Source organism: Homo sapiens, chromosome 7 (assembly GCF_000001405.40).
Source record: "Homo sapiens chromosome 7, GRCh38.p14 Primary Assembly".
In the NCBI taxonomy this organism is placed as follows: Eukaryota; Metazoa; Chordata; class Mammalia; order Primates; family Hominidae; genus Homo; species Homo sapiens.
The window spans coordinates 12191968-12205859 of record NC_000007.14 but is presented as its reverse complement, the minus strand read 5'-3'; positions in this window follow the sequence as shown (position 1 = coordinate 12205859).

Sequence of the window (13892 nt, the reverse complement as noted above, 5' to 3'; positions counted from 1 at the left end):
TTTTGGGTTTAGAACATATCTAGAAGTAAAATACATGGCAATGAAGCCATATTGTATAGGAGAGAGTGTAAATAGAATTATAGTGTTGCAGCCTTCTTACATTTTTAAGTAGTAATTTGTTATTGAAGGCAAACTTTTTTTTTTTTCCTGAGATGGGATTTTACTCTGTCGTCCAGGCTGGAGCACAGTGGCACAATCATGGCTTACTGCACCTTAGATCTCCCTGGGCTCAGGTGATCCTCCCACCTCAGCCTCTCAGGTACCTGGGACTACAGGCACATGTCACTATGCCAAGTTAATTATTTTACTTTTTGTAGAAACAGGACTTCTTTATTTTGCCCAGGCTGACTGAAGGCAAACTTTTAAAAAAATGCATAAAATAAAAGGATGGGGAAAATATACCATGAAAACAATAAGCATAGGAAAGATATGACCATATTAATATCAGAAAAGTAAGACATCAAGACACATAGTATTACCAGAGATATGAAGCACATTCATAATGATAAAAGTCTTCATTATTTAAGAATATGTAACAATTATAAGACACAAAGAAATACTTAAGAGAATTAAATGGGGGAAATAGTCAAGTCTATAATAAGTAATTAATAGAATAATAAAAATCAGGTAAATTTAGATTTCATTAACACTCTCCACTAACTTGACATAATTGAGTTAATAGAATATGATATCCATCAACTAAAAAGCACAATTTTTTTTCAACTGCACGAAGAACACCCAACAAGATAAACTAATCAGATGACAGCACACAAAAAAGAAGTCTCAATAAATTTCAAAAGATCAGAATCATAGAGTATATGATCCATGGCCAAAAATAAAAATCAGTGGCAGAAAATTATCTAGAAAATACCAAAATATATAGACATTAAGTATTTTGCTTCTGAGTAATCCACGAGTCACAGAAATCACAAGTAAAATGAAAAATATTTTGAACTCTATGATAAGAAGTCTATCAAAATTTGTTAGAAGCACCCAAATTACCAGTAAAATGGAAATTTATAACATTAAATGCCTAGAATAAAAAATGAAGGTTTACAGTGAACTAGTTAAGTGTCTACATTAAGAAACAGAAGACAAAATAAAATCCAACTTGAAGAAATGAAATAGTAAATATAAAAGTAGAAATTAGTGAAATAAAAGATAGAGAAATTAAAGTCAAAAGTCAGTTCTTTGAAAAAATTAACAAACCCGTAACAAAGAAATAGTGGAGAAAACACAAATTACTAATATCATTTTAAGAAGAGGAGACATCATTACAAATCTTACAAACATTAAAGACATAACAAGGGGATATTATGAATAACTTTATGACAGTAGCTCTCAAATGGGGGTAATTTTTCCCAGGGGGGATATTTGGCAATATCTGGAAATAGTTTGGTTGTCACAACCCGGGAGGAAAGTTACTACACAACTTGTGGACACAGGCCAAGGAAGCTGCTAAACATCCTGTAGTACACACTATCCTATCATAACAAAGACCTACCTGGCCCCAAATGCCAATAATGTTGAGGTGGAGAAGCTCTGTTTTGTGTTAGTAAATTCATTAGCTTAGATAAAAATGAATGAATATCTTGAAAAATATAGCTTGCCCAATTGACAAAGGAATAGAAAAATCTGCACAACCCTGTTTTTATTAAGGAGATTGAACTCGTGATTGTAACTTTCTCACAAAGAAAACTCAATCTCAGATGGCTTTACCAGTGAATTATATCAAACATTAAGTGAAGAAGTATAATAAAACCAATCTTAAATAAATGAATAACTCCTTTTAAAAATAGAGGAGGGAACATTTCCTAACTTGCTCTATGAAGCAGCATAACCCTGAAATCATAACCTGATAAATATATTATCAGAAAAGAAAATGGAGGTGCAAATATGTTAATAAAATATTAGCAAATTCAGTGCATACACACAACTCACAGAAACTGAGAGTAATGAGGGTCTGTCAAAGGGACACAGGAGGCAATGGAAAGAACTCCCAATGGCCAAAACTGGTATACTTTGAGCAATAATATTGATATAAATAAAGTGGCATTGGATGATAAACCAAATTATAAAATACACATCCATGAGTTCTTACTGATATGAATAAATGACTGAGGAAATGAGTGGGGGGAAATAGACAAATCTCCTATGTAGGAGAATTCCAAATATATATATATATACATATTTTTATATATATATATATGTATATATATATATATATTTATATACTTTTTTTTGAGTCAAGATCTCATTCTGTCACCCAGGCTGTAGTTCAGTGGCAAGATCACGGCTCACTGCAACCTTGACCTCCTGGGCTCATGTAATCCTCTCACCTCAGCCTCTGGAGTAGCTAGGACCACAGGTGTGTGTCACCACACCTGGCTAATTTTTAAAAAAATTATTTTTGTATGTGTGGAGGTGAGGTCTCACTGTGTTGCACAGGCCAGTCTCAAACTTCTGGTCTCAAGTGATCCTCCCACCTTAGCCTCCCAAATTGCTGGAATTACAGGCATGAGCCACGGCACCTGGCCCCAAATAATTTATGTAAATATAACACCTTCAAGGAGGCAGAACATAACTCCCTACTTCCTAAGTGCGGGCTGCATATGGTGATTTCCTTCCAAAGAACACAGTATAGAAAGGGGGGAAATGGTAAACACAGTTTAGAAATTGACCCATACTACCTCAGCCAGATAATCAAGGTTGACAACAGGGATAAGTCATGTTTATATTATGTACCGTAGATATAGTGTGATGAGAATGACACTTTTTTTTTCCTGAGTCTTCCTCCCCAAGACTGGTTAGGATTCTCCCCAAGATTTCTGAGTCTTCCTCCCTAAGATTGGTTAGGATTCTCCAGAGAAATAGACCAATAGAATGTGTGTGTCTGTGTGTGTGTGTGTGTGTGTGTGTCTGTGTCTGTGTCTGTGTATGAGAGATAGAGAGAGAGGTTTATATTAAGAAATTGGCTCACATGATTATGGAGGCTTGGTGAGTCCAAAATCTGAAGGGGGAGGCTGGTAGGCTGGAGATTCAGGAAAGAGTAGCAGTTCCAGTACAAAGGCAGTCAGGATGGAAACTCAGAGCCAATGTTACAGTTGAAGTCCAAAAACCATGTGTTAGCAGAATTCCCTGTTGCTGTGGGGTGCAGACTTCTGTTCTATTCAGACCTTCTACTGATTGCATGAAGCCCACCCACATTATTGGAGGGCAATCTGCTTTACTCAAAGTCCACTGATTTAAATATAAGCTTCATCCAAGCAACACCACACAGAAACATCCAGAATAATGTTTGATTATACGTTTGGGCACCATGACTCACCCAAGTTGACATATAAAATTAACCATCACACCCAATCTAGTCATGAGGAAAACATTAGACAAATCCCAAGTGAGGGACATTTTACAAAATACCAAATTATTTTACAAAATAACCAGAACTCTTCAAAACTGTGAGGGTCGTCAAAAAGAGTGGAAGAGTGGAAGTCTGAGAAACTGTCACAGTTTCATGGCTAAGAAGACATGACAATTAAATGTAATAATACTTCTTGGATGGAATCCCGAAACAGGAAGAGTATATTAAGTACAGACTAAGGGAACCAGAATAAAGTATGGCCAATGTATCGTTATTGGTTCATTAATTGTAACAAATGTACCTTGCTAATGTAAGCTGTTATAGGGAAACTGGGCATGGGGTACATGGAAATTTCATTGATAAACGTGTGGAATAATTTAAAATACTCAGGTATTGCTAGTGGGATGTAAAAATCAATTCTTTAGAGAACTGGTAATTTCTTTCTTTCTTTCTTTTTTTTTTTCTTTTTTTGAGATGGAGTTTTGCTCTTATCACCCAGGCTGGAATGCAGTGGCGTGATCTTGGTTCACTGCAATCTCCGCCTCCTGGGTTCAAGCAATTCTCCTGCCTCAGGCTCCTGAGTAGTACCATGCCCGGCTAATTTTTTTGTATTTTTTAGTAGAGACGGGGTTTCACCATGTTGGCCAGGCTGGTCTCGAACTCCTGATCTCAGGTGATCCACCCGTCTCAGCCTCCCAAAGTGCTGGGATTATAGGCATGAGCCACCGCACCTGGCTGAGAACTGGCAGGTTCTTATAAACACATGCATTCTAGACCCAGAGATCTACAAGGACATCAAACATGTCCACAAAAAGATTTGTACATGAGTACTCATAGCAGCCTTATACTTAGCCATAACTTGGAGAAAAAAAAGACACCAAATATCCATCAACGGGATAAGCAAGGTGACATACATTTGCACATTCGTAATTTATATAATGGAATGCTATTCATCAATAAAAAGGAGCTACTGGTATAAGCAACATGGACAAATCTCAAGAACTTTTTTTGTGCAAACAAATCTAGATGCCAAAGAATTCATATAATGTGATTCTATTTATACAAATTCCCAGAAAAGGCAAAATAAATACTTGGTTATAGAAAGCAGAAAGTGGTTTCCTCAGGTAGAGGTAGAAATTGACAGGAAAATGAGCATAAGGGAAATTTCTGGGATTGTATAAGTATTCTTCATTTTGTTTTGGGTGACAGTTATAGGGTTGTGGGCAATTGCTCAAACTCATTGAATTGATCAATTAAAATACATAGTTTATTATATGTAAGTTACACTTCAATAAACTATTAAAAATTTGTTCTTAGATAAAGTATTAGAATCTATTTTTTTCTCTTTATCTTACATTGTCTTTCAGCATGGAGGTTCTGATTTGTCTTGGCTTTTCATTTATGAGGCTCAAAACTCTTTACTTTCTTTTCCTCAAACAATAAAGTTACAAATCCAATTCATTAGTTCAGGGCCCTATTTGATGTTGGTATCCTATAATTCCCATTAATATTCAGACTTGGGTTCTAAATTTTAATCGTGTACAAGATTTGCCTTTGGTTGGCCTATGTTGCCTAGGTTTTTTACTTTCTTTTCTGATCTCTGTTGCCCAAACAGTTTTCCTGGAATTTGTGCCTATTGCCTCTTCTGACCTTGAGTACCTGGGTAAATTTTAAAGCCCCTTTTTGTGTCTTTGTGTCTTTCTCATTCATTGCAGTATCTTCACAATATCGTTTCATAAAATAGAGAAATGATATGTTGGCTTTGAAATACATGTTAATATTACTATAATTTGAAATAAATCACTTTTATGAAAAATAAAATAAAGGGGTGAATAATTAATGGAACTTGACTCTTTGACTCTATATTTGGGTAGCTGTATTTTCTCCTGTATACCTGGCTTGATCTGATCATAAATAATTTTGATATCACTTTTAAATAGAATACATGTAGTAAATATCATGAAAATGTTGTTATCTGTCTTAAATTCTCTTTCATGTTTACTATTAGTCATTTTCTGATTTATTTTAAGAATAATTGGACAAAGAGACTCAGAAGACAGAAAATGGGCATGTGTGATATCCAAAATTTTGAAACAGATAGTAGACACAGACTGATTCCTAGGAACCAACAGACAAAGTTGCAGTAGCTTTAAAGAGCTGATATCAGATGATAATAGCAGCTATGACATACTTGAAAGAAGGAATTTGAGAATGCTGTTAGACACTAGAAAAAAAAAATGAGAATTGTGTCCTGCAGACTTGGTGGATTAATTCCACACAAGTGTACCCTTTTGTTTAGCTGGTCACATCTGTTGTAGGTTTTACCCCTTCACTGCCTGACCCTAGGCATATGGGCCAGAGTTTTGCCGAAATGGCCATTTAAGTGGGTACTGATGTCTTCTGCAAGAGAATCCAACTGTAAACACTTTGCCAGGATTCTGTAATCCTTGTTCTTCTTCCGACTTTCCTGGCTTGTTCTTCCTGCCATTTTGGTTCATTTCTGCTCTACCTTTTGCTCGGAATGTGCTCATCGTGCAGATTGGTGTTTTGTGTATTTTTACTGGCTAATCATTTTCCCATAGCTAATGTTAAGTATATAGTATATCATCAGTGTCTTACTTTTATTATCCTCATTATTAAGAATTAATGATCTACGTGGAAGTACATTTTTCCCCACTCGTTTATAGATTTATTTGAACTTTTTCCTTAATATAATCATTCCTATTGCATTTGCAAACCTATTTTTATTGAAATGTTTTGAAAAGCTCATAGAATCCTTGGCAGTAGTATTTTGAGTCACAAATACAAAAGTAAGTAACATTAGGGGACATTTGAACAGACTTTGGCACCAGCTAGGTAAACCTATCAAAAGACACTCTCTGCTGCTTGAATCTACTAACTGATGACTAATGGAAAATTACAGAGCCTCCCTTCTAACCTTGACATTCCTATAAGGCTTTAGTTTCACAAGAGATCAGGCATGCATATGTAATAAGTAGAGCACCCAAACAAAAATAAGCCTTGTTAAAAACAATAGCCTGTGAGAAGTATCTGCTTATTTTGTCTTCCTACTCCTGGCACCAGAATTTGGCTAGAATAATAACACAGGGGTCATCATTGCAAATATGCCTGGGAAGATTATTTTATTAGGAATCTATAAAGAATTATGTTTATGTTTAGTCATTATGGAATGAAAACTATAAATTTTACTTTGCAATCAACTGAACATAATTATGTGTAACAGTGGGTTTGCAGATTCCCTTTTTACTAAGAAATTGCAGTAAAACTTGTTCTAGTATATGTAGGGATGTTGCCTTCTTTTTGACCAATTCTGGGTTTATTTCTTGTGATTTCCAAATGCATTAGCTATTCTGTTGTGTCTCTCAATGTTTGTGTCCTATATTGGTTTTAAAAATTTTCGTAATTCTTAGTCTACGTGGTTTTTTGTAATTCTTCAGTTTGTTTTAAGCATTGTCTTTATTGGATATATTTCTAAAAAGGTTGATGTCTTTCTTATATTCCTTATAAAATATTTAGTTCCAGTTTTATAGCTCCAGGTGTAGCTATTTTTTTTTTGAGAGAGTGTATTGTACCTATCTCTTTTTCTTTTATGGATTCTCTGGTATTCTCTGGGTAACTGCCATTTGATCTACTCAAATTAAGGCAATAAGAAGAGTACAGAGTTTTACTAATTTTGGGAAAAAGAATCCAAGTTGAAAAGAGCATAAATGCATTCATCATCTTACTTTTTGCATAAGACCACAAAATTGCCCCTGGAGTATTGATTATAAACTAACTTATGCTGATATTAAACTAATAATTCTGAACATAGTATTAAGATTATTGAACCAAAACATTGTTAATCACAGTATCTGAAAGAAAGTTGTTTAAAATAGTAAAAATAAACAACCAAAAATTATTGAAGTGTTTCTTCTTAAGCATTAAGGCCTAGGTGCCAACAGATGAAATGATGTGTAATAATTGTTATAATCTTTGTTTTCATATTATATTATTTTTGCAGTAAAGACAATTTTTTTCTTCTTGGTAAAAATTATTCCAAATTTCCACTCATGTGTTTTTCATATTGGAACCTCACATAGAAACTAGATGAGAAATTACAATACTTTCAACTACTTCCCCAATTAATATTTTCTTACATAATAATTAGTAAATATAGATCTTGTTTTGAGAAAATGCCTCAGGAAAGAATTTTGATCCCTATGGTGGTTGTAGATCTTTGAAATTGTTAACGTGATATGTAAATAGCCTAGGCATCTCTCAGGTGTGGCAAATGGGCTGAGCAGGTGTTCTTTCAAAGAGAAAATGTAGCCCTGTAGGAATGCTTCTCTGTCTGATTTCCAAAGTAAAACATTTGAATTCAAAGTTTCTTCGTGTATTTTTAAGTTACATGGGTGTTTTTTTATTACAACGTTCCATCCACCTTTTATACATTTTTCAAAAATTGAACTCACAAGATACTAAGTACAAAAAGCAGAGGAGGCTGGTGGGAGAAGGGCATGAGCAGGGGAGTTCCAGGATGCAGTAAGCTGTGATCACACCATTGCACTCACTAGGCAACAGTATAAGACCCTGTTTCCAAAAAAAAAGCAAAAGAGCTAAAATTCATGTTTATCAGGATGTTTGGAAGTCCTAAAATTCATGTTTATCAGAAAGTTTGAAAAGTAAGTTTATCCGAGATCACAATGCCTGAAATACCATAGGTAAACAATAAATAGTTGTTGAATAAATGCATCTTAAACAGACTAAAATATTTTACTGTCATTTGAACCATGTATATTTTCTCCAGCTAAATGGTGCTAAAGCCTGAAATAGGGAAAATTAATGAACTCCACTCATCCTGTAGTCATTATTTCATCTTTCATTGTTACTAATTATCTCTATTTGTGTTTGCTCACTTGGCTACTGCCTCCTCACCAACATCAATTCTTTGTTCCTTTCCACACACACACACACACACATATTTATTGCATGGAATTCTCATAAGCATATGAACTTCTCTGTAAAGCTCATGAATCATACTCTAGAAAGGAAGGAAGACTTACTTAAAGAATATCTTGCTAATCAAAGCCACTCAGGAGAGCACTCATTAAACTGGACCACAGGGTTTGACAATAGTGATGGGTAACACCTCTACTCTAGAGGCAGAAAAAAGGAGCACTATTATCTTCTTCTCATTAGGAGTGCCCAGTAACTCGTAAACATTTTTCCTCCTCCATTTCTTGCACTTCCTAGTGGAAAAGAGAACGTTTTCTACAGTTTGCTGTTTCAAGAACATTGATTTTAAGATTAAAAATTCACGTGATTGTGATTTAACTTGGTTAAATCTTGGTTTTCTACTGCTCTTCTCATCCATGTACTTCCACCTCACCAGTCTCTTCTCTCTAAAGCCTCTTAGCTTCTTGTTTTGCTATAGCTCACTGACTATAAATCAGCATGCTTATATAGATTGAACTTAAGGGTTCTCTTAAAATATTTTAGTTTACATTAACAAATTACAAATTTATGGTAGCAAAAACCCACCACCGTTGTGGTACAGTAGAAATGCCTGAAAATGGCCTCCTTGTAATGACTTACCTTAGATATTTGCAAATGCTGTAATCAGTAGTAATGATGGCATAGCAAAATAGTATTTGATTAATCACATTAACATCAAAATAAAATTTTGTGTAAATAAATTTTGGGTAAGTAAAAATTAGACATAGTAAATGCTAAATAATTTTATTAGGAAAAAGTAGTGGTATAATCATGAAATATTAATAGTAATATCATGACATATGTGTTTTAACTTTGAGGAGAGAAATGAGATGCCTGAATAACGGCCAAGCATCAGTCTTTTAATAGGACATTGCATGCTTGAAACAGATATACTCTCCATTTGTCACACAATGTAGCTATTGTAATGTGAACAGTGTAGCAGTCATTGATGATAGTTATGTAACATTCTGCAGAGAAATTTTAACAGGATCAAAATTCTACAGAGCAGCACTATCTATATTGTTTTACTGTTTTATCTGAGCTTTCCGCATGGATTCACTCTACCTATCAAATTTGGTTTCTTAATAATTTCCAAAATGGAAAAGAATGTTTTGTTTTACTATATCTGCTCTATGATACACATATGATGCTTTTATTATATCAAGTTAGTAAGATGCGTTGCAGTTTAGTGACTTTTTTTTTTTTTTTTTGAGGCCACAGGACAGCAATCGAATAAGTAGGTTTAATTCCTGGAATCAGCACTGGTAAATTTGCTGAAAAGACCTACTAAAATTATTTTATCAATTATAGAATTGTACATGATATAATGGAGACCATAATAGACTTTAGATTTAGAGAATGTTGTGACTTAATTAACAAGCAATATGGTTAAATGTCATTTTCAAATAAACAGTACTATCAATCCAGTGTAAGAAACACATGTACTTATAGCTCTTGATATAAGGATCATTTACCTTAATTCAGTGTGCTCACTCCTGTCTCTCACACACCTACATACACATGCACATTACACATAGAAATCCAAGACACACAGTCTGAAGATTTAAGGGTATATTTTTGAGATATGCAAAAGATATGCAAAACTAAATGAAGTGTAAAGGAACCAAAATCTCATTAGTATACTGCTCTTATCAACTAGTTAATTCATCATCTATACTCTAAATACTTTCCTGCATTATTCAAAGGCATAAAATATTAGATTTCAAAGTCAGAATGATTTTTTTTTTTTTTTGAGGTGTAGTCTCACTCTGTCGCTCAGGCAGGAGTGCAGTGGTACGACCTTGGCTCACTGCTACCTCCGCCTCCTGGGTTCAAGTGATTCTCCTGCCTCAGCCTCCCAAGTAGCTGGGACTACAGGTGCCCACCACCATGACTGGCTAATTTTTGTATTTTTGGTAGAGATGGAGTTTCACCATATTGACCAGGCTGATCTCCAGCTCCAAAGTCAGAATATTTTTATGTTCTAGATATTATTCATATTGTAATACGGTTATTAAATGGTCTATTTAAAAAATATGTTGGTCAATAAATTATAATTGTAAGTAAATCATAAAACTTGGATTAAGGTACCATGTTTATATGAAATGTCACACAGAAAAAGAATTGCTTTCTAAGTTGTCACAGAACACATTAGTTTATGGGTGTTGTTACTGTAAGTTTACTTCAGAATATTTTGAAGTTTCTTACAATGACATGTTTACACATTGGTACAGAATATTCTGAAGTTTCTTACAATAATTTGCTTACACATGGGTACATACCTTGGTTATTACTATTATTAATTAGGGGATTTTTAAAAGAATCTATTTTTACCTCTTAGATACAGAAGAGTTTAAAAACAAAAACAAACACAAAAAGAATGGTTATATTCATGCTTATGCCTTCTCATATAAAGAAGAAACAGTATGACTGGAAAGCACAAGGCTGAAAATTCAGATGAGTCTGAATCCAAATTTGTGGATGTATGAATATTTGTACGCGTATGTGTATGCAGGTAATCCGTTTTCCCCTTTATAAGGTTGATGCCGCACTTTAAGGATTGCATGCCGATTAGGGGGATGTTATGATAAATTTTTAGTCTCTAACATAAATATACTATTTTACTTACACTAAGTGGCTAACATAGAAATATATTATGATGTGTGACTTTAGATTTAAACAAGATAAAATACAAAGATGATATCTTATGCTATCAATCAAAGCTATCATTGAGCAAAGGATGATGAGTGATCTATGAGCTTCTCCTCATCAGTCTGGAATGACTCTAGGAGGCCAGTTTGTTTTAATGTCTTTGAAATGACCTTATTTTAGCATATTTTTAAATATAAATATTTTAGCATATTTTATTTAACATGAATATTTTAGCATAATTTACTGAATATGAATATTCATGTTGAATTAAGTAGTATTTATTATCTAATCCTTTATTTTTCTCTTTTATTCATTTTTTAATTCTCAGTTGAAACTTAATTTTTATCATGTTAATGAAAATTTGTCTTATAAATAGTAATTCAGTATGACTTACTAATGACCACACAAATCAGATCAGTATTGGATCTAATACTGGATCAGTATACTGAAGCAATGCATCATAGAAACCTGGTCAGGAATGTCAATGTCAAAGCATTCCTAGAAGAAAGGATAGTTTATAGATTGCTTCTTTCTGAAAAGATAAATAAGAATCCAGAGACATAGTTTATAAATTTTATCTGTGTGTAATGGTGAGTAAAGCAGTTTTTTCTGTTTTTTTTTTTTTTTTTACCATGTTTGTGTAATCTTCTTTCAGACTTTTTGTTTATGAAAAAAAGACTTATAACCAGAAATATATAATAACCAACAGTTTGAAGTATTCCTAAGACTATTTTTCAACTTTGTTTTTAAAATTACAAAATAAAATAAAATTTAAATTAAAAAATATGGAAGTAGCTAATTAAATTAGTATTAAGGGAGGATACAGAACTGTAAATGCACGGAATAGGCTAAGACTGCAAGAAAATGTTCCAAAATATGAGGGCAGTATGTTGACTTGTCTCTTCTACTTTTTCTTTATATATGTTGGAACATTGTCTTTATAATGAATTCAACACAGTGAGCACTCTAGGAATATAAAAGTTAAGCCTTGAAAACTACTATAATGCAATAATACTGACAATACCTTATAAATTGATCATTACAGAATTTGGAAATTTCACAATAAATGTTATGTGGTTCTAAATAATGAATTACATTGTAGGCTATAACTCTAGTAATATCCTATTTATCTTGTACATTATTGTAACTTTGAAATCGAATGCACTTCCTTATCTTCTAAGCCATACTGCCTGAAATACAAGGATTATTATTTTAGATAGCTAGAAGTCCTGGTATATTTAATGTTCTAGATGCTGGATGGAAATATTCAAATACAAGAGTCATTGATGACCTCAGGATGTCTTTCAGAGAAAGAAATTTAAGATGGAATTTTAATAAAGTATTTTTCCACTTTCTGTTTTTGATTGTCTCAAGGTGTCAACAGCAGCAACTAAAATGTGATAGTACTGGACTAAACAAGAAGGCACTGAATCATTCTCTCAACCATAATTACCGGCTAATTCTGCCCTCTAGAGAAATGCTTCAAATTTAGTTTTAAATTAAAAAAAAAAGTTGTCAATGGTGTTTAAATTTTAAAAATGTCTTTAACCTTTGTCTTAGTCCATTTGTGTTGCTATAAAGAATACCTGAGGCTGGGTATATAAAGAAAAAAAAGGTTTATTTTGCTCATAATTCCACTGGCTGAAAGATTGGGCATCTGATGAAAGCTTCAGGCTGCTTCCACTCATGGCAGAAGACTAAGGGGAGCCAGATGTGCAGAAATTCTCTCTTCATATGGTGAGAGAGAAAGCAAGAGAGAAGGGAGCAAGGTGCCAGGTTATTTTTAATGACCAGTTCTCACCGCAGTTCACTTCCATCCCTGCGACTTGCCTCAGGGAGGGCACTAATCTATTCATGAGGGATCCACCTCTGTGGCTTCAAAGCCTCCCATTAAGCCCCATCTCCAACAGTGGACATCAAATTTCACCATGAGATTTGAGAGAACAAACATCCAAACTATAGCACTCTGTTCTTGGGCTCCTAGAAATAATGTCCTCCTCACATTGCAAGATATAATAATTCCTTTTCAATCCCCCAAAGTCTTAACTTGTTCTAGCAAAAGTCCAAAGTCCAAAGTTTCATCTGAGACAAGTCTCTTCCAGCTATGTTCACGTAAAATAAAAAAAAAAGTTATTTACTTCCAAGATACCAAGGTTGTACAGGCATTGGGTAAAAGATTCCTATTCCAAAAAGCATAAATCAGCCCAGAGAAAAGGGTAACAGGCCTCACACAAGTCTAAAACCCAGGAAGGATGACATTAAATTTTAAAGCTCCAAAATAATCCTTAACTTCATGTCCTGCATTCTGTGGACTAGTTCAAGGACTGGGTTTCAAGACCTCAGGCAGCAGTGCCCCAATAGCTTTGCCGGGTGTACTCCATGTGGCTGCTTTCATGAGTGGGAAGAAACATCAATGGCTTTTTCAGGCTGAAGGAGTGATATGGTTTGGCAATGTCCCCAAGCAAATCTCACCTTGAATTCCTATGTGTTGTGGGAGGGACCCAGTGAGAGGTAATTGAATCATGGGGACAGATGTCTTTCCCATACTCTTCTCATGATAGTGAGTAAGTCTCACAAGATCTGATGGTTTTATAAAGGAGAGTTTCCCTGCACGAACCCTCTTTTCTTGTCTGCCACTATGTGAGACATGCCTTTCAAATTCCACCATGATTGTGGGGCCTCCCCAGCCACATGGATCTGTAAATCCATTAAACCTCTTTCTTTTGTAAATTGCCCAGTCTTTGTATGTCTTTATCAGCAGTATGAAAATGGACTTATACAGTAAATTGGTACCAATAGAGTGAGGCACTGCTGAAAAGATACCTGAAAATGTGGAAGTGACTTTGGAAATGGGTAACAAGAAGGGGTTGGAACAGTTTGGAGG